This window comes from Homo sapiens, chromosome 3 (genome assembly GCF_000001405.40).
Source record: "Homo sapiens chromosome 3, GRCh38.p14 Primary Assembly".
Taxonomy (NCBI): domain Eukaryota; kingdom Metazoa; phylum Chordata; class Mammalia; order Primates; family Hominidae; genus Homo; species Homo sapiens.
This window is the reverse complement of record NC_000003.12, coordinates 175,184,183-175,211,995: the sequence shown is the minus strand read 5'-3', so window position 1 is coordinate 175,211,995 and position 27,813 is coordinate 175,184,183. Positions and strand designations below refer to the sequence as shown.

At 34.7% G+C, this 27,813-nt stretch overlaps 1 protein-coding gene across 23 annotated transcripts in view, besides 1 other annotated feature; it reads right to left on the bottom strand.

Moving 5' to 3' along the window:
* NAALADL2 (N-acetylated alpha-linked acidic dipeptidase like 2) overlaps positions 1-27,813 on the bottom strand; it is a 1,369,567-nt gene that overhangs the window by 598,553 nt on the left and 743,201 nt on the right. The gene's annotated exons all lie outside the window — the stretch shown is intronic.
* Positions 4,323-4,617: a silencer, noted in NCBI's record as "tiled region #14988; HepG2 Repressive non-DNase unmatched - State 24:Quies". NCBI's record gives its function as "represses a minimal TATA promoter and a strong SV40 promoter by Sharpr-MPRA in HepG2 cells {active_cell/tissue: HepG2}" and the evidence as "EXISTENCE:reporter gene assay evidence [ECO:0000049][PMID:27701403]".

Genomic DNA, 27,813 nt, shown 5'->3' with positions numbered 1-27,813 from the left:
AAATACGATATTTTTAATATGTGGCTGTTTTATTGTGTTAAGCAGAAATTTTTAGTGAGTGAGTGAATTTTTTCCTTAGCATCAGTATGTCTGCTATTACAAAATGGGAGGACTAATCATTTTTGATTTGGGCAAATATTTTTCGTAATGAATACATTATTTTAAGAATAAAACAAGAAAATTTAAGAGCATTTCCTTGTACATACTATTTCCATTAAGAAATATAATTGCACATCACAATGTGTTATCTTTGGATTAACTCTTGTTTGTTAATCAAGCAAGTCCCATATATTTAAACACACCGGGTTAAATTGGCACCAGAAAGCATGAGGGAATACATCCAAGATCTACCTTAATGATGCCAACATTTCAGGGAATAGATGACACTATATAAATATGAATGACAATGTAAGTTAGGAATCTGTAGGAATGGCCAACATATCATTTTGTTATAAGTAAAATATGTAAGTGTTTTAAATACAGAGGTACTTTAGTATAAAATAGAGGCATGTTTCTAAAATTAAGACAAATATATTTTCTCTAAATAGAATATACTAGTTTCAATAGGAAGTGTCAGCCTTTGATCAAATATAATCATTGAGCTACTTCTCCTTAGATTATTTTTATTATTCATTTCCATCTGGAATGCCTTCCCTGGAAACCTACACTATTTAAATTCTGCCCACTATTCAAGTTCCTGTTCCCCAAGAGAATTTTTGAGCATGTGCATAAAACGTAATAAAGATTCTGAAGTATCTATATTTATTTGGTGTTTTTCCAAGGCAGTTTCAATAGATTAAATTAAAATGTGTATCACTTTAGATTGAAGCAATGCCCCCACCTTCTCTCATCCCAAAAGCTTTACTGAAATAAACTGCTCCATTTCAAAGTTCTAATCCTTTGGCCTAATTAAGGGATTTCTATCCTGGTTAGAATATTAAAAATGCTCTGAGCTAATGGGCCTTTTTGTTTCAAATGTTAGATTTAATTTCCTGTGAATAAAATTTTACAGCATGGAAAACATTAGGTCTTATTGAAACACCAGTCAAATATAGTAAGTATGAAAAATGTCAATTAATAAATAAATAAATCCTGCTCAGCCTCTATAATCATAGTAATTTTAAAGGCATATAAGTTTTAAAGTAAATGTTTTAATATTTTAAATTTTGAAATTTAAAACATTTTTTAAATGACATAGGCAGTATGGTAAATAGAGCACTGGATTAGGAACCATGCTTTTTTTTACCTTTATTACTCAATTTTGTAGAGTTGTACAGTCATGTAAAATTGGTCATCTCATATTATTTTGAGGGAAGTTTTTAAACCTTTTCCCTTTTTTCTTATTTTCTTCTTCTTTTCTCTTTTGCTTGCTTTACCTTCCTCCTGCCTACCACATCACCCTTTGCCATATTCCACATTAACAATATATGTAAGCTTCACATACAATATAAGTAAGATTTAATATATAATTACATATTCACTTATATTATGTATTCTTCAATATTTTCACCTAGAACACACATACAACACATAAACATGTACATACACAAACCTATGTAGAAATTATTTCATAACAAAAAAGTAAGATCAAAGTGTATGTGCTTTTCTATATCCTGCTTATTATACTTAATCTTATCTCTTGAATATCCCTCCACATCACATGGAATGTTTCTTTTTTTAATTCTTACCATATTATCTTAACTAATTGCAAAAACAATATGCTTTATAATATACCATAACATTTTATATATATCCTTTCATTTTCCTGACAACTAGTTTGAGTAGTCTCTTTTCATGTTTTGTTTAGCCATTCAGATTTAATCTCCTGTAAACGCCCTATTCAACCCTTGGCTAATTAGTTTGCTTGTTTGGCTTTTTCTTGGCAGTTTGAAAGGGCTGTCTTTACATTACATATATCCATCATATTTCTGTTATGCGTATTGCAATTTTTAATATATTTCATTCTATTGTATGTATAATATTAATACATTCATGGAATTTAGTATGCTACTATTCGTTGGCTATTTTCAGGGTTTCCCATCACAGGCTAATAATATTTACTGCTTTATTGAAAACGAAGACTTGTAGACTTTATTTATTTATTTTTAATTTTTTTAAATGCTGCACATAAGTGTGTTAATCTTTTTGGAACATAAGCAGTGAGAAAGCTCTTCACATTGATGATATTTATAGGTTCTCAAGGTCTTTAAATGACAGAAATATTCATTACCATCATTTATGAGGACCTTCTGCTCTTCATAAATATACACCAAGTATATATATATATATCCAAAATAACTACTACATGTGTCAGTAACATATCACCGTAAGCTGGCAGCATGTATTATTCCTTAAAATCTATTTATGTGTACTTAATCTTTTGTTGATCATGTGATGTAATGACATGTACAAGACATCATCTAATTTTCCTATGATTAACATTCTTAAGTTAGAGAAGTTCAACTAAAGCACTGTTATTCCTCATTATCTAAATGACACAATTACCACAGACATTTTAAAAAGAAAAGTGGCCATTTTCAAGAACAAAATTTTCTCTTTCTCAAGAATGTTTGTTAAAACTGAAATATAACCATGTACTAGTTATGCTTCTGCTCTTCAAAGAAATGTACTTCTCCCTGACTAGTTTGGCAGTAATTGGATAGACGGAATATAGCATCACTTCCAGACTCTGCACTGAACTAAATGCTTTTTTTTCTGCTTTTATCTTCAGCAATATCTTTTATAGCTATTGAATAAATGCAGTACATCTATTCATGTTATCTGGAGAAGTCAGAAAACCAATATTTACCATTTTAAGTTGATTTAGGAACAGACGACATGTTTTATTTTACGTTCTTTTCCCTACTACACCTTCTATTTAAGACCCACTAAAAGTAGAGAAAGGAGATCAAACATTCACAGAAACAAACGCTCCCTTTCAATTAAACAAAGCTTTTGCTTTTTAATGTCAGAATAGAAGTTCCTTTGTAAACAATATAATTTTGTAGCCACTGCAAAGGCAATAGATTTAAAAACAAAATAAAGCAACATTACAAATTATCTATAACTGAGAAGGCAAACATTCTAAAATGCAACCTGGACAGTTCAATCTGCGCCTGGACTGACCCGTATAATCCTCAAGGAATAAAAATTTATTCCAAATGCAAAAACGATTCATGGTTATTCTTTAAATAATATTATCTATTAAACTTGTTCTGGCCTTACTGCGCTTCTCCATTTTCCATATTATTTATTTCCTTTCTATCTAAATTGAGTTTTATAGTTCAACCATGTGGAGATCAGTGTATGCTTAGTGGAAAAATGCATTATCGGAAGAATGTAATATAATGTTGTCTCTCTAAGTAGGAAACAGAAGCATTATATTCAACGTTTCAGCCAAGTTACTGGGATTGGCTGTCAGCAATCCACTTCGTAACAGAGTTGACTCATCGAGCACATGCTGACTGACCAGCTAGTGCCAAGTGAACAGGAGCAATGATGGCCACTAAAGGCAGAGACAACTAAAAGCCTTTGTTAGAGGCTGTTCGTGTTCTGAATGGAGTACAAAACAAAGCACATATAAAGTCAAGAGAGAAGCTTGTGCATGCTGTTACACTATAAACTTTAAGATTTCTGGCAGATCTAATGGCAGGGGTACTAGCAAAGCAAGATAGGTTTAGACAGAAGAAACGAGTATTCCGAATAGACTTTTAAAGAATTGACATACCCAAACTGCTGAAACATGGTTGTGAAAATGCCAACAGGTAAAAAGCAAAAATATAGGAAGCTTGGGATAGAAATAAATAAGTAACGGTAGGATCAAAATATTAAATTTACTAGAGCTGAGGATGGGTTGAGTAAGTGAAGTTTCCTAAAGAACAGTCAGATGGAGGAACATGAACAAACAAAAGAAACAGTGAGCATGTTGTTCTCAAAAGATATGTAGGCTATTTTTGCTTCCTTTCTATTTGTTTAGCTTTTGGAGTGCTTTACATTTCTTTCCAATAAGAGCTTTTATGCCCTCGTTCAGTTTATACTCCTGTAAGTAAATCTTCTCCTCAAGTCATTGATTCTATGGTTTCAAAATCAGTGGCCTAATCAGTTTCTTTTTCCTCTACAGCAAAGTCCACTCCTTTTATTTATCATATGAAAGAGAAGACATCACTGCTCTGTCAGTGCATTTAATTCAGGATTCTTTTAGAGCGGCTTCCTTTTTTTCGGTTATGTTTAAACACTTTAAACATCATATAAAAGGAAGATTTAATAAGCTTTACTCGGCTTAATGTGTCTTCAACACTCAACACTGGAACACTAAATGAAGGAATAATCAAAGAAGGGAAAACAGAGAGGAAATGTGTGGATAAGCAACTAAAGGATGCAGATGTTGAGGAATTAAAATAAACCAAAAGATGCCTCTTAGTAACAGTGTGTTCTAATGGGTAATGACCTGAACTGCTGACCAAAATATACAAATGAGTCATTTTGCTTTATGAATGTCTAATCCTGAAAAATAGATGTAGGAAGTCATTGTTGTACGGGAGAAAGTAAGTCACTCCAAAAATCCAGCATTACTTAAATATTTGGAAACGAAAGCCAACTTTTAATATGATATTTGGTAATAACTTCCATCATGGTTTTAATCTCTTTTTTTTTAATTATCTTAAGGTAAAAATTCACACTATTTTATTTCTTTACACACCTGTGGTTTGCCTCCCCTCAATTCCAAACCTTCTAGTCTCCAATAATTTCTGAAAACATTGCTGATATTAAGACCTAGTCTGCTTTAAATACTTGCAACAATTGACTTGGTCAGCTAATTCTGTTATTCATCTATTAATTAAAGAAATATTGAGTCCTTTAGTTCTATACACTCTATATACTCTAATGCATTTATAACATCTATCATTCAACCCGTCTTTATGTTACAATATATACGTTTGCATATATAAATATGCATATATAATCCTATACGTGTACTTGTGTTTCTGTGTGTATCTCCAGTGTATGTGTGAGCATCCAGTGTGACATATTCGCATGCACTGCTTTCTCTTCATTTTACCACTTTGTCCTCTCAATAATCATGAGTTCAATCTTTAAAGACCTGAGTAGCTTTATTGGGTTTTAAAAAGAAGTTGACTGAGCTAGGTCACTCCATTGCTAAACAGATTGGAAGGATTAGCAGACCTAAGCCAGAAAAAGTGTCAGTGGCTCTACCCCTCTACTCTGTGCTGCCAACGACTTCTAGCATCATTCCCAAATGTTGGTTTTCTCTATGCTCTTTTTTATTTTTCCAGAAGTTATTGGGGTACAGGTGGTATTTGGTTACATGAGTAAGTTCTTTAGTGGTGATTTGTGAGATTTTGGTGTAACCATCACCCGAGCAGTATACACTGAACTGTATTTGTAGTCTTTATCCTTCGCCCCCCTCCCACTCTTCCCCACCAAGTCCCCACAGTCCATTGTCTCACTCTTATGTGTCCTCATGGCTTAGCTCCCACATATCAGCAAGAACATATGATGTTTGATTTTCTATTCCTGAGTTACTACACTTAGAATGATAGCCTTCAGTCTCATCCAGGTAGCTGCAAATGCTGTTAATTCATTCATTTTTATGGCTGAATAGTATTCCATCGTGTATATATAACATATACATTATATATGTGTGTGTGTGTGTATGTATGTGTATATATATATATATACACATACATACACACACACAGTGAAAAAAAAAAATATATATATATATATATAGTTTTTTATCCACAGTATCTTTATCCTCTCATTGATTGATGAGCATTTGGGTTGTTTCCACGATTTTTCAATTGTGAATTGTGCTGCTATAAGCATGCATGTGCAAGTATCTTATTCGTATAATGACTTATTTTCCTGTGGGTAGATACTTAGTAGTGGGATTGCTGTATCAAATGGTAGTTCTACTGTTAGTTCCTTAAGGGATCTCCACACTGTTTTCCATAGTGGGTGTACTAGTTTACATTCCTACCAGCAGTCTGGAAGTGTTCCCTGATCACTGTATCCTCACCAACATTTACTGTTTTTTATTTTTTTATTATGGCCATTGTTGCAGGGGTAAGGTGGTAGCGCGTGATGGTTTTGATTTGCATTTCCCTGATCATTAGTGATGTTGGGCATTTTTTCATTTTTTTTTTGGCCATTTGTATATCTTCTTTTGAGAATTGTCTATTCACATCCTTGGCCCACTTTTTGATGGGATTTTTTGTTGTTTTCTTACTGATTTTTTTGAGTTTGTTATAGATTCTGGATATTAGCCTTTTGTCAGATATATGGATTGTGAAGACTTTCTCCCAATCTGTGGGTTGTCTGTTTAACCTTCAGACTGTTGCTTTTGTCATGCAAAAGCTCTTTAGTTTAATTAAGACCCAACTATCAATCTTTGTTTTTATTGCATTTGCTTTTGGGTTCTTGTTCATGAAATCCTTGCCTAAGCCAATATCTAGAAAGGTTTTTCCAGTGTTATCTTCTAGAATTCTTATAGCTTCACATCTTAGATTTAGGTACTTAATCCATCTGGAGTTGATTTTTGTATAAGGTGAGAAATTAGAATCCAGTTTCATTCTCCTACATGTGGCTTGCCAGTTATCCCAGCACCATTTGTTGAAAACAGTGTCCTTTCCCCACTTCAAGTTGTTTGCTTCATCAAAGATCAGCTGGCTGTAAGTATTTGAGTTTGAGTTTCCTATTCTGTTCCATTGGTTTATGTGCCTATTTTTATAGCAGTACCATGCTGTTTTGGTGAATATGGCTTTATAGTATAGTTTGAAATCAGGTAGTGTGATGCCTCTAGATTTGTTCTTTTTGCTTAGTCTTGCTTTGGCTATGTGGACACTTTTTTGGTTCCATATGAATTTTAGAAGTGTTTTTTTCTAGTTCTTTGAAGAATGATGGTGGTATTTTGATGGGAATTATATTGAATTTGTAGATTGCTTTTGGCAGTATGATCATTTTTACAATATTGATTCTCCATCTATGAGCATGGGATGTGTTTCCATTTGTTTGTGTCTTCTATGATTTCTTTCAGCAGTGTTTTGTAGTTTTCCTTGTAGAGGTCTTTTGACTCTTTAGTTGGTATATTCCTAATTATTTTATTTTATTATTATTATTTTTTGCAGCTCTTGTAAAAGGGGTTGAATTCTTGATTTGATTCTCTGCTTTGTTGCTGTTGGTGTATAAAAGAGGTGCTGATTTGTGCACATTAATCTTGTATTTGGAAAATTTGCTGAATTCTTATATCAGTTCTAGGAGCTTTCTGGAGAAGTTCTTGGGGTTTTCAAGGTAAACAATCACATCATCAGCAAACACTGACAGTTTGACTTCCTCTATACTGATTTGGAGGCTCTTTTTTTCTCTTGTCTAATTGCTCTTGCTAGGACGTCCAGTTCTATGTTGAAGAGGAGTGCTAAGAGTGGGCATCTTTGTCTTGTTTCAGTCCTCAGAGGGAATGCTTTCAGCTTTCAACTTTTCCCCATTCAGTATTATGTTGGCTGTGGGTTTGTCATAGATGGATTTTATTACATTAAGATATGCCCCTGCATGCCGATTTTGCAGTTTTAATCATAGAGTGATGCTGGATATTGTGAATGTATTTTTCTGCATCTATTGAGATGATCATGTGATTTTTGTTTTTAATTCTGTTGATGTGGTATATCACATTTATTGGCTTGCATATGTTAAACCATCCCCATATCCCTGGTATGAAACCCACTTGATCATGGCAGATTATCTTTTTCATATGTTGTTGGATTTGGTTAGCTAGCATTTTGTTAAGGATTTTAGTATCTATATCCATCAAGGATATTGGTCTGTAGTTTTCTTTTTTGCTTATGTCCCTTCCTGGTTTTGGTATTAGGGTGATGCTGGCTTCACAGAATGAATTAGGGAGGGTTCCTTCTTTCTCTATCTTGTGGAATAGTGTCAAAACTATTGGTACCAATTCTTCTTTGAATGTCTGGTAGAATTTTGCTGTCAATTTGTCTGGCCCTGGCCTTTTTTCTGTTGGTAATTTTTAAATTACCATTTCAATCTCATTGCTTGTTATTGATTTGTTCAGGCTATTGAATTATTCCTGATTTAAGCTAGGAGGGTTGTGTTTTTCCAGGAATGTATCCATCTCTTTCCAGATTTTCTAATTTATGTGCGTGAAGTTATTCATAGTAGCCTTGAATGATCTTTTGTATTTCAGTGGTGTCAGTTGTAATATCTCCTGTTTCTTTTATTAATGAGGTTATTTGGATTTGCTCTCTTCTTTTCTTGGTTAATCTTGCTAAAGGTCTATCAATATTATTTATGAGAGATTATCATGGTGGACAGGAGGCAGGACTAGATTGTGGTTCAGGACAGAGCAGCATGAGGAGACTTGCGCTGTGAATTTTAGTTCCAGATCAACTGCAAGAACAAACCAGTAATCCCAAGAAGACTCATAGAACTCTGAAGGAAGCAGACGGCTCCTGCAGGACCCAGGAAACAGTCCAAACACTATGAGTGCTCCTGCCGTGGAAGTGGGAAAGGGAGAGCTTCCTCTTCCAAATACACATCCCCCCACTGCAATAACTGAAGGTCTGTTTGTGGGAGAAGTTTCTGACCTTACTTGAAGCTGAGTCAGTTTAGAGAGCTGAGCGAAATACAGGGGTAGAGGAAGCAGCAGAAGGACCCTGGGAGCTCGCTAGTTCCCAAAGCAGGCCATTCCTGCCTGGAATCACAGGGATCCAACAGGACGGTGGCCAGAGGAGTGGGGTGAGGGGGGCAGGAAACACCACAGGGAGAAGTTAATCTCCAGCTGAACTTTGTAACAATTATTTGAATGGGTCAAGAAGCCTCCTGACCAGACCTCAGGGGAGGGTGCGAATCCAGTGTGCAGACTCCATAGGTGTGGGAAGAACCAAGCCTTTTTCTTTTGCAGCTAGGAGGTGGTAGCCTGGGGCAAGTTCTAAAGTCCATCTCGTCCACCACCTGGAAACAGACTTGGGGCTGTTTTGGAGGGGTTTGGGCGGGGGAAGGTGGGTGCAAGACCGGTCCTTTGGTTTATGTGGGAGCTGGGTGAGGCCTTAACTGGCACCCTTCCCCCACTTCCCTGACAACCTGCATGACTCTGCAGAGGCAGCCATAATCCTCCTAGGTACACAACTTCATTGACATAGGAACCTCACTCCCATCCCCCAGAGCAGCCACAGCAAGACCCACCCAAGCAGAGTCTGAGCTCAGACACACTTAGCCCAGCCCGACCTGATGGTCCTTCCCTACCCAACCTGGTAGCTGAAGGCAAAGGGCATATACTCTTGGGAGTTCTAGGGACCTGCCTACTGCCAGTTCGTCTCCATACTACCACAGCTGATGCTCTCTGGAAAGCACCACCTCCAGGCAGGAGGCCCACCAGCACAAAAATAGAGCATTAAATCTCTATGCCCTTTGAGTCTAGTTGGCCAAGCATGCTAAAATCACTTTTCTTTGGATCAGTGGGAAAGTTATTGGCATGTTGTGTGGGACATTTCTTTCTCATTACAATGCAGCATGTTAAGCATTCTTGAACCCACTCCTTTATCCAGCATTAAACAGCCAGAGCATACCCACCTCACCATCAGACCTGTTTTTAAACTAAGGAAAGAGATGCATAGATCAGAGAGGAGAGGAAATGGAAGAGGGAGGCTGCAACAAGGCCAACAGAACTGCCTTGTCTGGAGACCACCATTACCACTTGGAAATGAAGCCCAATACTCAGTGGACAAAGGAAGCTGATCAGCTGCAAACCTCACTTCCTTATGAAAAATTCAACTTCCCAAGGAGGCATCAAAGCAGAGTGATTAGGAATATGAATTTTGGGCCAGATTGGCAGTCTTCAAATCCTCAACTTTGACACATTGGGCAAGCGACTGTTAAGTGTCTGTGCCTTAGTTTTCGTATGTAAAAAAAAAAATAAATAGTAATGACCTTGTTAGAGCTGTGATGTGGACTGAATGAGTAAATATTTGTAAAGTGCTTAAAACATGATAGTACCATGTAAGTGATACATAAAGTTAAGAAATACATTGATAAAATCAAGTGTATTCTTTCTTAGAAAGAACAGATTAATAGGTATTTCTATTAATCCCACTACCTCCTCCAAATTTTCCTCTCTGCCATTCCCTTTAGCAACATAGCAATAGTTTTGCAAATTTGTTTTTTTTTTTTTTCCAAATAAGTACCCTCAATTGAATAACAAGCTAGCTAGGCAAAGCAATGATACTTAAGTGAGAAAGAGACACACAACAGATGGTAGAAAGCATACAAAAGGAAATTAGTGTACAAAGTTAAAAGAATATGGTTATTTAAAGAAGAATTGGAAAAAATCTAAATATAGTTCTGTTCTTGGAGCAACAGTGTAACACGACAAAGATGTAATGTCTGAAATGATTTGTTTTTACTGTCAAACCTAGTTATAATGTCTTATTGTTTTTCATATGTATAATCTGAAGCTTAAAAGTTAATTATTCCATGGGGCTCATGATATGTTGAATGATTATACTCATAGAATAAAAAATAATCTTAACATGATTTTCCATAGGGGAAAAATTACTTAATAAACTTGTAGAAGATCAATAAGTAGTTGGAACATATTTTAGCTACTGATGGGGGTGGGAAGGCTTATATAACTAAAAGTGTAAGCATACATACAATTAGAATTTAATTTTTATCAACTCTGACATGTTTTCATCAACCAGATATCTACTCTTCTTGTGGTGGTGGTTTTCCACAAATGTTACGGAGCATATCTGATCTGCCTGGGGAAAGGGTTAGGCACTAGAGATACATAGAGTGAAGATGTGGTCCCAACCTTCAGGGATTTTATATTCCACAGGTACATAGACATTTAAAAAACAAAAACATTGTGTTATTAGAGAGAGAAAAGAATGGAGTGTTATGGGAGCACAGAACAATTTGACATAATTCTGAAAGTATATGAGAGTTTTGAGAAGGATTTCCATGGAAGAGGTGCTATCTGTGCTGTTTTAACATGGAGAAGAGTCAAGGGAAAAATACTAGGATAATGTGACTTGGATTGGAGTGCAGGGATATGGAAAGAAATCAAGTTGAAGAGGTCATGATAAGTACAGTATAGTCTGGAATTTAAATTTGGCCGTTTATAGGCCATGGGAGCATTTGAGAGTCATGACCTGTTTTGTGTTTTAGAAATAAACTGTGTCAAGAAAAGTTTGCAGGAAAGAGTCTCTCTTTAGTAACTTGGGTAAGGAATGTTAAAGCCCAATTCATGGCAATGAGAAAGAAAAATGGTAGGAGAAAATGCAGTGGGAAATATTAAGGCAATCAAAGTCATTAGCTTTCATGTCTCACTGGATGTGAGTCAGGTTTAACACTAGCATTCTGGCCCCCATTACTGGGAGGATGGTTGTTCTAGTAACTGCTACAGGAAGTGGAAAAGGAGAAAGGGATTACATTGAGCGTTTTAGAAACTGATTCTGGAGATAATCATGAAAGACAAGACATCACTCCTCTGTCAGTGCATTTAATTCTGGATTGTTTTAGAGCAGCTTCCTTTTTTTCAGTTATGTTTAAACACTTTTTTGCTTGAAAAAATAACAGGATTGCTTAAAGAAAAAAAGAGAGAGAGAGAAATTAGTTAACCTAGTGAGAAAGGATTTTATCCTATTTGTTTTATGAAATGTCCATCATCATGGTTCTAAATTGAGTTAGGAACTAGCAACATTCCTCAGGCTACAATCAAGATCACAGTTGTGGCCCACTAGAGGCATACCCTTTTCAAACATTCATAGCCCACTGAGTCATGTAAAATAATAAATGAAGAAGCAAAGCTTAAGCAAAAGTAAAAACAGCTTGAAGTAGCTAGTTTCAAACAAATTGATGGTGACAGGATTTGGGAAGAGTTGGGCAGGGTATCAAGAGCCTTTGAAAGAGACAGAATCATGCCAGCTGAACTAATGATCAGTTGGACTTTTCGAAGTAGTAGTCTGAAAGAGTATTTATTTCTAAGCCTATGCATTTGCTTTTGGGTTAACCTGTATTATTTTTCCCACAGTCTCCTGGGAATACCAACTTTGCTTCAGATGGACTAAGGAAAAAAAAAAAAAAAAAAAAAAAAAAAATATATATATATATATATATATATATATATATATATATATATATATTTCTTTCCCCCCTACACAAAGAAAAAGATTAAGAAGATACTGTCTTAACGCAGCAAATCAATCAGTTTTCCTGGACACACAAGGAGAAACACATGTGAGATATAGAGAAACTAGGAGTAAAGCTAACGCCAAACAGGGAGGCCAGGGACATCTGTGAATTCTTATCCCTCCCTCCACGCAGTCTACGCACCATAGCCCTTAGTGCACTTTTATTCATTCATCCAGTCATTCACGTAACAAATACTAACTTGATACTTACAATTTGCTTGCAAATGTATATGCAGATAGTCCTACAATAGTGCATAAGGCACACACACAGTCTCATCCCTTGGATGCCTGCAAACATTATTTACATATTATATGTAAAGAAAGCATTATAACCTAGCACAGTATGAAAATTTTAGATAGGAGTAAAGCATGGTATCAAGAAGTAGCAGCAATATACTCTCCCAAGAGTTATATGTGACTTCTAAAGACAGCTGAGAAAAAAAGATACTGTGAATATAACCTGCTTTTTCTACCTTCAGACATGTCTAACTACAATTCAACTTGTCTGCTGCTAGATGAAGCATAAATCCAGAGAGAACAGCCACACTTGAGCTGAGAACAGTCCACCTTCAATGTCATTCAAAAGAGGCCTTGGAGAAAGCTCTGCGCTCTTTTGGCAGCAGCCACCTCCACTTTTATCTCCAGACATAAAAACACACATCCTGCTGATGAATACAATCCCGTTTCAAAGGCAAAATAATTGTATAGCATCTAACATGATGCTTTACTTAAAACTATTTATTGAAACTGTCCTTAAAATTTAAGTCTACAATGTCCAGATGCAAACATGCACTGAATAACTAATCAGAGTTCTGAGCTTCTGATGAAAACAGCAAATAGGTCCTGTTTTTGAGGTGCATGAATCAGTTTGCCTAAGGTATGCACCTGGATACTACCTAATTAGCAAAACTCACTGTATTTATTTTACATAAAAAATAATGGTGACCTTATGAAAATCCTGAGTTTTTGGGAAAAAAAAAAAATCTGCCCTTAAAATGAAAAAAAAATCTGCAAAGTACTTTAGCTTGAAAGTATTTGTCAGGTTTCTTGTCAGTATACCCAAAGGTTTCAGCCTAGAAAGCTGTGGAAAGTCCTTTTGCTTAACTTTATTCCCCCACAGTATGTTTGTAGTTTATCACTGCAACCCTCCTTCAACATTATCATTTCAAGGCAAGGTAAGTAAGAAGCTCCAGCATTGTGAAAAGAGTACTAACTATATATTGGAATTACGTGAGTGTATAAATCCTAGAAGTGTGCAGGTATATTTCATATATTTGTATATTTATTTATACATATGTAACTAAGGTACCTAATTTTTAAGCTTCATTTGTAAATTTTGGGAACTAATGATTACACAAAATATTGTACATGTGTAGAATAGACATTCATCCAGGTAAAGGTTAGAGGTATGAAGTAATATACAGGAATAGAAAAAATGGACTTTTAAACATTAAAAATAATCTCCTTCACTTTTTCCATTAATGTAAAATTAAAATTCTATAACTAGAAAAGGTACTAGATTCTTCGAATTTAATATTCATCTTGAAGATAAGTTTTTACACTGTCCTTGCTAGGAGTGAGTACTGGGGAACAACTTCAAAGCATATTCAACACTTGTGTTATTCCAAATATGTTCTGAAAATGGTTTGTTATTGATCTATGATTAAATAAATTAGATATTAAAAGCCAGGGATTCAAAACTTTTAGAGTAATTTTACAGGATAACTTTGTTTATGTTAAATCTAATTGTTAAAGTATCAAAAATATCTTCTACAACAGATTAGATATTTATATTTTTAAAAAAGAAAGTACTGTACTTTCCCACAAACATCTAATGGAAAATTCAAGAAGTACTGTTCTGCACTGTGTTGCAGGGTTCACCAGCAAGACTGACCCTCAGCTGCCCTCAGTGGTAATTTTCTCAATATTTCATTCTTGTTGGCTTCCTGCCTTTACTCTCAATTCCATACTTCTCTATAAGAGCTTCCTGACACCTCCCATGTAAACTCCCTGAATTCATATTTTTGTCACACAGTCTGTTTCTGATGTCAGATAGTTTGGTCTGTATCTATGTTTCTGATGTTGATAAGAATGCCTGGTGTATAGAGTTGTTTGACAAATCTTAATTAATTAATTAACATTTATTACTAATTAAAGGTTGGACAACCTTACAAAAAATCAGTTCTCTTCCTTGTGCCTCGAAGTTCTCAACCATATACACAGTTGATCCCTGAACAACACAGATTTGAAATGGGTGTGTCCCCTCAAATACAGATTTTCTTTCAATAAATATATTGGAAAAATTTTTGGTGATTTGTGACAATCTGAAAAACTTCGCAGACTAATTGCATAGTCTAGAAATATAGAAAAAAAGCTGTGTCATGAATGCATAAAATATACGTAGATATAGTCTATTTTATCATTTACTACCATAAAACATACACAAAACTATTATAAAAAGTTTTAATTTATTAAAACATATGCACACAAAAGCTTACGGACTCTACGCGGGCTTATTCACAGTTAACAGAGATATAAACAAATACAGACATATGCAGACTTAAACCATAGCTGCAGAAAATTAATTGTAGTACATATTCTATGACTGTAATAATTTTGTAGCCACCTCCTGTTGCTATTGCAGAGGGCCTTAAGTGTTGCAAGCATCCATTTAAAATGTAATGTAATGCTACTCATCTCTGTGTGAGCACTTTCTCTCTCCAGCAAATTGCATATTGCAGTAAAAAAATGACCCCTTATGTTTCTCACCTATTTTTTTCTTATTTTTTAGTGCAATACCATAAACCTGGAATGATACCATGACCCATAAAAAGTGCAACTAGTGATGCCAAAATTGCTACCAAGAAGCAGGGAAAATACATGACATTACACACAAAAAAAGCTGAATTACTTGATATGTACCCTAGATCGAGGGCTGCAGCTGTGATTGCTTTCAATTTCAAGACAAATGAATCCAGTGTAAGGATCATTGTTAAAAAGGAAAAGGAAATTTGTGAGGCCATTACTGCAGCTATGCCAGCAGGTGCAAAAACCTCGTACTTTTTGTGAAATACGTTTTTACCTCATACTAAAAATGCAACTTTTACGTGGGTGCAAGATTACTGTAAGAAAGGCATATCTATAGAATAATACAATTTGAGAAAATGCGAAGTCAATGTATAAAACTTAAAGCAAAAGGAAGGTGGATAGTCTAAAGCTGAAGAATTTAATGCCAGCTAAGGATGGTTTAATAATTTTAGAAAGAGATTTGACTTAAAAAATACCAACACAACAGGAGAAGCATTTTCTGCTGACCAAGAGACAACGGAAGAGCTTCCAGACATCACTAGGAAGATGCCTGGAGAAAGGATATCTTCCTAAAGAGGTTTTTAATGTGGATGAAAGTGCCCCATATGGAAAACAATGCTTACAAAGGACATTTACTAGTAAGGAACAGAGGTATGCACCAGGATTTAAGGCAGCAAGAAATAAGCTAACTATATGGTTTTGTGGAAATACAATCAGGTTTATGATCAGGACTTCCCTTCTCTATAAAGTTTCTAACCCCCAAAGCTTGAAGGAAAAGATAAACACCAGCTTTTGATTATATAAAAAAGATGGCCTGGACAATGAGAACCCCTTTTTCTGAATTGTTTCCATCAACACGTTGACTGTGAAGTCAGGAAGTACCTTGCCAGTAAGGGACAATCTTTTAAAGTTTATTTAATATTGAACACCACCCTTGGCTACCCAAACCCCATGGGCTTAATATCAAAGGCATTAAAATAATCTACTTGCCCCCAAATATAAGCTCTTTATTCAGTCTCTAGATCAGTGGGTCATAAGCATCTTTAAAGCTCATTACACATGATACTTAGTGGAAAGAACTGTCAATGCTATAGAAGAGAACTCTGATAGAGACATCATGAATGTCTGGAAGGATTATACCATTGAAGCATTGAAGATACTGTCATTGTTATTTTGAAAATCCATGAAAGCCTTCAGGCCCATAACAATAAATTCAACATGGAACAATAATTTATGCCTGTACAGGCTGATATATAAATGTCCTTCTGATAGATGATCTTTGAGCACAGACCTATAGACCTAACTCAAAATGCATATACGATCTGCTTCTTTTTTACCTCTTTGCATTCATCATCTTCAGACCCTCTTGCTATTCTTTAACAAATCACATATGTTCCCATCTCAGGGTATTGCCTGAAACACTTTTCAAATAGTTATTCCCATGGCTCATGCCCTCCCTTCCATTTATTCCTTTGGGTCTATATATCTACCTTTACATATCATCCTATATAAACATTTATTCAGCACCCCCTCCTCACCACCTGATCCATCTCAGGATGGCTGTTTTTCCATAACTTATTTTTTCATAACGTTTCATCATCCAACATATGATATATTAACTCATTGATTTGCTTATTGTCTCCCTTCTTCCACTAGAGTGTAAGTGTTGTAAAATCAGGGGATTGTTCTATTCATTGTCTCTTCCCCTAGCACTCCGAGCAATACCTGGCACACAGTAGGTTCTCCAAAATATATTTAAATGAATTTAAAAAGTGATTGGAAAGTAGACATTATTAGAGTCTCTTGCACTTTCAATTATCATCCAAATAAACTATCATTACTGGCATAAATGATAGTTCCATGTGGAATTAACCTGGTCATATGCATATTCATAAGAATTATATAGTCTTAGAGGAGGGAGAGAGAGAGAGAGAGAGAATTAAAAATTAAGTTAAAGTTCCACTTAGCTCAATAATTAAGGGAATAATACTACATTGATTAAATGGTGACTCCAGCCAAATTTAACTCTTACAAAATGGCATGACTCTTGTATAATTTTAAACTTCCCAAGAAATTTAAAAGTTTTCTTGGGGAAAAACTTCATTATTAAATGATTTGATACTCTTAGTATTATAACTAATTCAGAATTACAAGGATGTGGTTCCTTAAATAGAAAAAAATCTTAATAACTTGAACAAAACAAGATTCTTAAATGTATATATTAATACAAGAATGATATTGTGAATACACACCAACTGAGCCATAATTATTAATGCCATTAATTTTAAAAATACCTCATCTAAGCTGCATAATAAACTCCTGATCATTGAGGACTCCTCCTCTATAAAAGTTGACCCAATAACAACTCAGTATTTATAGAGGCAAATATGTTTTCATATATTCAAAAAGAGATTTTCACTTGGGTTTTTCTTACTACATTATATCTATGTTTCCATATAGCCTACCTTTCATTAAAATTGATGTGACAGATTGCTGTAATTTTCACATTGCTAAATACTTCTGTCAAGCCCCTTAAGGGATTTTCAGAATTTAGTTCTTAGATTGGGATGATTTCAAGGCTCTCCTTTTTGGTAGGGATGAGGTGAGCAACAGCTTGAAACTATGATTCATCTCTGTTTTAGTTTCTGTCAAATACTTGCAGGAAAAAGAAAATGACTAATCACCTACTAAAAATGGCAACAGATGCCATAAGCAAAATTTCATTCAACCTGTTAACTTTGGTTCCAATGTAAAAAATCATTTAATTAAAAGTCTTAGTTTGAAAATGATAGCATTTAAAAATATATACATATATAATAACATCTGCTTCTATAACATGAGGTATTAAATTTTAAGCACAATATTTTAACAAAATTGTTTACAATGACATTCTGCACTTCAGTTTTCACAAACCAACACACGTACATATCGGATATATTTTTCAGTTACTTGAAGATATACATGTAATTTCTATGCTCCAAGAAAGGGCTGCTAGCACTTTGCACACAAATTATCTATTTTCGTCTGTTAAAAGTCCTAATGGTATTATGTTTAGTCACATTAAGTTTCATGAAATAGCAACTAATGTTTTCACATATTTTTTCTATCTTTTGTATTCTAAATAAACTTTTGCTTAACGTCCAGTGCTTTTCTATCTGCTAAAAACAGAGCCAAAAAAACACCTGTTCTAGTTTGAAATTCAAAGTAGCATATTAATAAAATAGCAAAAGAACCAAAACTCCTCTAAACAAAGCAGTGAATAGTGGAGGTTTTTTGTTTTGTTTTTGTTTTTTGTTTTTTAATTAAGTACTTTTGGAGACTTTGCCTCTAATATTTGAAACAGGTAGAGGGGTATGGAATGGGGTAAGGATAGGGAGGGCTATGTTGTGAAAGAGAAGAGAGAAAAAGGTGAAGTTATTTCTTATCTCACCTCTATTTCATAAAAAGGGGGCCGTAACAGTATGTAATGAGTAAATGTCTGTGTAGGATATTCACAGAGACCATTTTTTGGCCTGAAAGTAGGCTAATTTTGGAATGGCTGCTTTTTTCTTCTTCCTGACCATTACACATGCATAAGGGCCCGTGTAGAGGAATAGTTGTGTTCTCCTTGAGATAAACCCTCTAAAATTAATACTTTCATATCTATCATTATATCTTCTACCTAAAGTAGTTCTGTGAGCACATGGGTCCCCATTTTACAATAAGAAAACCAAGGCTCAGAGAGTGTAAATAATTTGAAAAAAAAACACACAACTAGTAAGTGGTAGATCTGGAATCTATGTAGGGCTTCTAACATTTGATTTTGTTGCTGTTCTACCACATTTGCTTAAATAAGTATCCCTGACATTTTGTAGATTAAAAATATAAAGATTACAAAAGTCAGGCGACTTTCAAAACATCAACAATCTGAGTAGTATTCTTTTATCATTTCAAATCCAGTGATAAGTGTGTGAATTTGAAAAAGTCTCTTGGTCTATTTTAGCCTCATTTTGTATCTGAAAAAAAAAAGCATAAATCAGTTAATCTCCAAGGTCTATTTCAACTCTAAAATGTGCAGGGTTTTTTTTATCATATTGTGGCTACACGTAAAATTTTAAACTGATCAAAATCATTAGAGTTCAAAATTGCCTTGGATAACATTAAAAATTATCAATACATTCATAAAAGCATTATTTCAATAAACAAAACAACTACTGATTTGATGAGTATACATTGGATAGGAGCCAACGGAAATGGTTTCTAGATATATTTGGCTAACATCGTTGTTAGTCATCATTCAGAAATAATTTGAAAGTAGTGACTGTTGTCATAATTAAAATCCATGCCATAGATTTTTCCCACTGAGAAAATTAATTAACAATTTTCTACCTTTGGTAGCCAATCCATTTGAAACTCAGGAGGCAAATTAATGAATGCTCTCTACATTGTGAACCAAATTTTAGCTGCTAATCTAGAAAATGACAACACAAATACATTAAACAGACTTGTAGTAATTTATTAGAATGTGAAAAGGTAAAAACTGACCTTCTATGAAACTAATACGACAAACGGATTTATGAGTGAAATGGTAGAGCATATACTATTCATAGCATAAGAATTTTATTTTAAAAATCACTGCACTGAATCTTATAAAAATCTAAGACAGCAAGTTTATTTTTCTGATGGTAAAGGTGGAGTTTTGTTCAATAGTAAAACACTGCTTTGAAAACTAGCTTTACTTTATTTATAAATAACTATATGTTAGTTCTGAGATTTTTCCTCTAAAATTTGTCTTGCCACAAGATGAAGTACATCTTGCAACAATTTCCAGGAACACTCCAGTAAAGCCCAAAGTGTTTGATATTTGTTTTACCTATTTTAGGAATAATAAAAGGGAAATTAAAACATGCACACCTCAAATAAGTTTTATTCCCAAATAAATTAATCAATTATATAGCTAACTGCCACTTTCAGGCTTTATTTTTAGAATGGACCTTAAAATTATTTCATTTTGGGGAGAACAAATGTGTTTATTTGGGAGATCACTGATTATACAATAATGTAAAGTAAATCACTGTTGGAGAAGCTTTCCATGGGGATACTCTTAAACCTATTATTTTCTTAGAAATAGATAAGAACTGTCTTACTTGAAGATTTTAAGTGTGATCTAATTAGTTTTGTGTTTTCCACAAACTTCTTAAAGAAATCAGTGAGAATATTTGTTACACAAAACGTTTAGCCTTACACATTATCTCCCCAAAACTATGCTTGCTATAAAATAAAACCAAAATGCGTACATTATATCTTTTGGGGATCAAATAAACTTTATCGCTCAGCAAAGCCTCTCCTAATATCCTTGACAGAGTTAAGCTTCTCTTCTCTCTGCTTCCATCAAATATTTCTCACAAATATATCATTCAGGGGGTGCTTTCTGGGGTTAGTATTGTGGATACCACATGGAGACAAATCCCTGACATCATTTTTGACAACTGTCCCTCTGTTCTCTCCAATCTCCTCCTTCCAAAATTAGAACATTTCCTTGACCAGTATATCCTATGTTACCCTTTATACAAATATTGATCCAACTCTGCTCTACAATGAATTTGTGATGCCTTCCATAAAGGCTCAACACTTCTACCAATTCCTGATTACTTGACTATATTCAGTTTTTATTGCCTCAACTATTTGAATGTGCCTGAATTGGCTATAATATTTGGGATTTTTTAAAAAAATAATTTACATAAAGTATGCAACATGATATTAGGGGACACATATAAAGAGTGAAACGGTTACTACAGTGAAATAAATTAACATATTCATCATCTCACATAGTTAGCCCTCCCTCCTTTTTTGTGGCAAGAGCCCCTAAAATCTTCTCATATAGCAAAAATTCCAAATACAGTACAATGTTATTAACCATAGTTCTTGTGTTACACATTTAATTTCTAGACTCGTTCATTCTACGTATTGGTTACTTTTCTTTTTCTTTTTTTTTTTTTTTTTGAGACGGAGTCTCCCTCTGTCTGTTGCCCAGGCTGGAGTGCAGTGGCTCCATCTCGGCTCACTGCAAGCTCCGCCTCCCGGGTTCACGCCATTCTCCTGCCTCAGCCTCCCGAGTAGCTGGGACTACAGGCGCCCGCCACCACGCCCGGCTAATTTTTTTTGTATTTTTAGTAGAGACGGGGTTTCACCGTGTTAGCCAGGATGGTCTCGATCTCCTGACCTCGTGATCCACCTGCCTAGGCCTCCCAAAGTGCTGGGATTACAGGCGTGAGCCACCGCGCCCGGCCCATATTGGTTACTTTTCATCCTCTGACCCACATCTTTTTATTTTCTCCTGGTAACTGCCTCACTTCTGGTACCATATTGTTTTCCATAATGACCGCACCATCTACGTTGCCATCAAGAGTCCTCTTTTCTTCACACCCTTGCCAACATTTATTATCTCTTGACTTTTAGATAATAGACATCCTAACAGGTGTGAGTTGATATATCATGTGGTTTTGACTTGCATATCCCTGATAATTAATGATGCTAAGCACCTTTTCATTTACCTGATGGCCATTTTATGTTTTCCTTGTCTTTCATGTTCTTTGCCCATTTTTTTATTGGGTTATTTTTTTCTGATATTCAGTTGTGTAAGTTCTTTGTAAATGTTGATATTAACCCCTTAACAGAGATATGGTTTCCAAATGTCTTACCCAAATCTGTAGGTTGTTGCTTCATTCTGTTGTTTCCTTTGCTATACACAGATTAGTTTTACTTTGATGTAGTACTATTTAATTATTTTTGTTTCTGTAGTCTGAAGTTTTCATGTAATATATATATATATATATTGCCAAGGCCAATGTCAATGAGCTTTTCCCCTATGTACTCTTCCAGGAGTTTGATGGTTTCAGATCTTATGTTTAAGTCTTTTATCCATTTTAAGTTGATTTTTGCATATGATGTAAGATAAGGATCCAATCTCTCCATCACCATTTATTGAAAAGACTGTCCTTTCTCCACTGTGCATTCTTGGCATCCTTGTGAAACTTGGCATGCAAGTTCACTGTATATGATTGGGTTTATTTCTGGACTGTCTATTTTGTTTCACTGTCTTTTTCTGTTACCTGTGTCTGTTTATATTCCAGTTTCACACCACTTTGATTACTATAGTTCTGTAATATAATTTTAAATCAAGAATTGTAATGTCCCAAATGCTGTTTTTCTTTCTCAGAATTACTTTGGCTATTCAACATCTTTTATGGTTCCACGTGAATTCGAGGCTGTGTTTTCTATTTCTGTGAAGAATGTTATTCTTATCTTGACAGGAATTGCACTGAATCTGTGTATTGTCTCGGATAGTAAGCACACTTTAACAATATTGATTTTTCTGATCCAAAAACATGGAATATCTCTCAATTTACTTGTCTTAAATTTATTTCATTAATGTTATGCAGTTTTCAGTGTAAGAAACTTTTACCTCCTTAGGTTTATTCTTAAGTATTTTATTGTTTGATGATTATATATAGAATTTTTCCTTGATTTCATTTTCAACTATGTCAATATTTGTGTAGGGAATGCTACTGATTTGTGTACATTGATTTTGTATCCTGCAACTTTACTGAATTTATTTATTGGTTCTAAAAGTTTCTTTGTACAATATTTGGGGCTTTCTACATAGGGGATTGTGTCATGTGTAAATACAGATAATTTTACATATTTCTTTCCTACTTGAAGATTATTTTCTCTTCTTGTCTGATTGCTCTTGCTAGTACTTCTAGTACTATGGTGAATAGAAGTGGTGAGAGTGGTCATCTTTGCTTGGTACTTGATCTTAATAGAAGGGCTTTCAGTTTATCCCCATTAATTATGATGTTAGCTGTGGGATTTTTCACAAATAGCCCTTATTATGTTGAAACCATAAGATGAAGATTCACTCTCCAAGGCATGGGTGGATAACTATCACCAACAAAACCAGGGTGTGTGACTCTGAGGCTCATCCCCACATCTCAGGCCTTGGGAGCAGGGATATAGCTATGAGTTTGATTGTGGGAGGAAGGGTGCAGCATTGACATGGCTTTGGGAAAAAAGTGTGATCTCGGGCTTGGGTCCTGGAGATCAGGGCATAGCTACAGTTCTGGTCCCAGAACTAACAGGGCACAGCAGCAACTCAAGCCCCAGGGGATTGGGGTACCACACAATGGCGACTTTGGGAGGACGCAGCAAGAGTTTAGGCTGTGAATCCAGGTGCAATAGGATTAAGTACCAAGGAATGGTACACATTTGTGGCTTGGGCACCAGTTAGCAGGGAGCAGTACAGTGTTGACCCCACTTCCTGGGGAGCCAGGGAACTTCAGTAGCTTGGACTCCAGGGGTCTAGTCCAGTTCCAGGAAGGTGAATTTTTGCAGCTATTTGGCCTGGAGGATGAGATGGCACAGCTCAGTCATGTCTCTGATTCCCTGGGACATAGGAAACTACATTAGCTTGGCCCCAGAAGGTGCAGCTACATGAGCTGCCCAAGATTCCAGTTCCTCAAGGGAAAGTGCATCACATCAACTCAGGCACTGGAGGTCATGACTCCCCTGCTTTGCGAAGAATCTGGCCCTCACGGGGGTGGGGTGTCATACCAGCTCAGGTGTAGGGAGCAATATTAGGGGATGATTGCTCCACTTAGCCTAGAGTCTGGGTCCCTGGAGGAGCAGGTGCTACATCAGGTCAGGCACAATACAATTTGTATTTTAAGATCTATATAGTATTTTTCTTTTGTTTGTAATAGGTCAAGTATCATCACTTTATCACTGCTGCCAGGTATTACAGGTCAAAACTACATATCAGAATACTCATTCTGTCAAAATTCATGATAGAAAAAGAGTTAATAACATAATCAACAACATGTATTGCAGAATGAAAAGAGCTTTGGATGTGTGGAGCATTAAGCCTTTCTCACCTAGAATCAGTTTGTTGCAATAATCCACAACGGCTAACAGCATATTCATGAACTCAGATCACTGAAGAAATACCTATTAACCAGAGAAAATACGTACAGGAAAAATGGAGAAGAAACGAGCTGGCATTACAAGAGGGTATGTGCAATTAAAACACTTACACTTCTCATTAATAATGTGTTTATTTGCTCCTTGTAGGCAAGGATCATGTTCACTCATTTTTATAGTCACTTCATTGCACTTAGAGCCCAGAGTGGTGCTTGGCCCATAATATGGGAGGCAGCCAATGCTTTCTGAGTGGTTCCATATTCTGCTGGTGAGATCATTCTCACATATCTTAATGGGATAGTCAAACCAAGATTAATTACTTATACTTGCCTAGCATATTTAAAGAGAATTTAAAAAAAAAGATGTGTCTTCAAATGAAGAATAAACATTTTTAGTCTTTATATATTTTGAGTGACATATACATACATAATAAAATAATCATTTGGAAGCACTTTGTTCTACAATCTACAGTGTGTTGGCCATAATTAAAGACTTGCGGGAACAAAAAATAAAAGCTTGAGGAAAACAGAGATTCAAACCTAAAGCTTACAATATTAGGGTTTGAATAAATGAAAAGTTGGAAAACATCATAAAACTAAAAGCAATATAAAATAAATGTAAATGCTGGAATCGACAACGATAGGAAATAAACACCCTTGAGTCAGTAAACCTTTTTATCAATGCTTCTGTTACAGCACTTCCTATAGTCATGAACTCACTTGTATCTATGATTATTCCCTTTCTGCTACTTCCTGCAAGGCAACAATTATAAGAAGCATGGTAGATGTTTATAAAGTGTTTATGAACTTAATGAATGATCAAATAAATATGTGAACTAATGAATAAGTGAATGAACAGCTGTCAGTAAAATGTAGGAATCCCTCCCCTAGATGAGGGTCAATCCAGTCATCAGGGCCTTGACAATTGCAGTGTCTACCAGAAATACTGGCTCTCTGAAATCACCTAGCTTTTTGAATTTGATTTTATTTATTATAAAATAAAAGACAGAAAATGAAATAGTGAACTAAAGGATTGTTAAGATAATCTTTTTTCATTATACTATTTGCTCTCACAAGATGAGGAAAATTATTATTATTATTATTTTCCCTATTGCATGAAATAAAACTACCAGGGCTCTGAGCACTCGAGAAAGGCAAATTTGAGATGTTAATTAGTTTGAACAGAATCTGTAATGTATACCACCTACTGAGATGGAAGAGAGATGGGAAAGAAAACCAGTTCTTCAGGGATAAACAGTTCAAAGAATTTCACAATGTGACAAAAAGGTCACATGACCACCACAGTGTGACAAATCAAGCAAGTATTAGAACATTTTGCCAGACAGTTTTCTGCACTTGGCGTCAAAATTCAAAGGTAGTAAAGTAAAAGCAAGCTATATTTAACAAAGAAACAGTTTACCTCTTTAGGTGTAAATCTCTTTATCTCTTTCTATAAAGTAAAATTTTACAACAATGGATAGTCGCTACTTTCTAATCCTGGTTGTTTTCAAAATGATTTAAACAAAAGAGGGCATTTGTTTTAAAATTAGATGTTTTATATTTTTAAATTAGCCAAACTATCATTGTTTTTAAGTCATGGGAAATATAAGATATGATTGTAAGGAAAGAGTAAGAACATCTGATGAAGGTTTTGCAGTCAGTTCTTGACTGGTTCCTGGGATTCCTGTGTGACAAAGTGAAGGTCAAAGTTGCAGCTGAAATGCCACATGAAGAAGAGAATTCTCTCAGGATCTATAGGGGTAATATGTAAGATTATTGTATAATGAAGACTGACACTACAAATAAGGCAATTTTCTTCCTTTTAGTTCCCTGAGTTCATCTCTTCAACATGTACAATATGTCGTACATCACTCAAGTGGTCAAATATTTAAACTGATGCCTTACAAAGTTATGCCATTTAATGTTGCTGACTGACACCTCCAGCTGTTAAGCAATTAGGTTGGAAGAAATACAAAGTTAGGTTACTAGGAGTGAATACTGGATGACTTTTCCAAAATTTGATACTGAAATTTTACCCAATAAATATAATGTAGAATGTTAACATTTTCAAATTAAAAGCAATAAGTATGTGAAAATATAAATTTTAAAAGAATGATGAAAGTAAAATAGAGATAAGAACAGAAAAAAATTGCAAGTTTTGAGGGCTTGTTTTTTGGCTATTTATAATTGATATATTGAACTACATTATTTTATTAAATATTTTAGATATACAAAAGGCTTATATAATTATATAAAATAATTATATAAAAAAGCTTATACAATTATATCAAAATAATTATACAAAAAATACTAGCTTAAGAAATAAGACATTCCCAGTGCCACGATCATAATCTTCCTTCCACATCAAAGATAACCACTATTCTAGATTTAATATTAATTATCTCCATGCATGGATTTATGCTTTTATGCATATGTACATATCTATACCACATATCTATAAAATACTGCTTTGCATATTTTAAAACTTTATATAAATACATCATGATGCATGCTTTCTTCTAAATAGTTTTTTTAATTCAATTTATATTTATGATAATTATCCAATCTACTTCATACATTTTCTTCATCATTGTGTGGATATACTACCACTTACCTATTTAGGGTGATTTACATTTTTCTTTTATAAACTACACTGTTAAAAGTATTTTGCATACATCTTGTGCATATGTAGACAAGTCTCTTCAGGGCATACAATTAGGAGTAGAATTGCTAGGTTATAGGATATATGCATCTTCAGCTGTATAGATAGGATCAAGTAGTCATCCCAATTTATCAGAATGGAAATAATTGTATGTGGTATCACAAGTACACCATTTAATAGGGCTTTGAATTGTTTTATAGGTTTTCATTCTGCCTTGCATCAGAGTATCTTCCCAGCATAGCATGTCACAGGCAATAGCTATGTTTCAGAAAGTAAACATCACTCCCCAGAGTCAAGAAGCAGCAAATAATTTTGCTATCTCTCATTTGTACAATGCTCACAGGCAAAAGAAACAGGAGTCCTCAACAACAACCAAAATATACAACCTATCGTATAGTAATTTAAATGACAATAAACTATTATTTGTGGTGGGGCAATTATTTGATAAACATGGTGCTTAACGTGCATTATCTCATTTAGTTTTTGGAATAAGTTTGGCAATGAAGGTGTTATCCTTGCCTTGTTCAAGAGAAAATTCAAAAGTTGAATCAGAGGTTCGGTAACTTGCCTAAGGGAATATAGCTAGTAAATGCCAGTCAGTATTCAAACTAAATTAGTAATGCTCCAAAGCTAAGACTTTCTCTATTATACACTAGCAGTAAACTGCAGGTTAAAACTCCAAAGCATTAACTACAAAAATCTATAAAGCACTACAAAGAGGAAGTAACTTTAATTATCTTCACTTATTTAGGGACAGTTGTACATATATGGGACTTTCCAACTTCATGTTATTGCTTTATCTTGGTGGCGAAATTTCAGTACCCCTCAGTACTTCCGGAGAAGGAAAGAGATCATGATAAAAAGTAATTTAGTTAAAATTAAAATTTAATTAATTAATGTACTAAATAGTCACAACACTGCTAAAAGCTGCAGTAGAGGGTAAACAATTAGGTAAAATGAATTTAGTTCATTATCTGTAGATTTAACTTAGTTGTAATATCCCTATCTTATATTTACTTAGATAACCCAATGCTCAATCTGCATCTCAAGCTTTGCTTGATATTAAAGGGAAAAAGTTCTGAGGCTCTAAAGGAGAATTAATCAAACATAATTAAAGTAATTCTCATGCAAACTCCATTCTTCCAGATGGCGTTGATCCTAC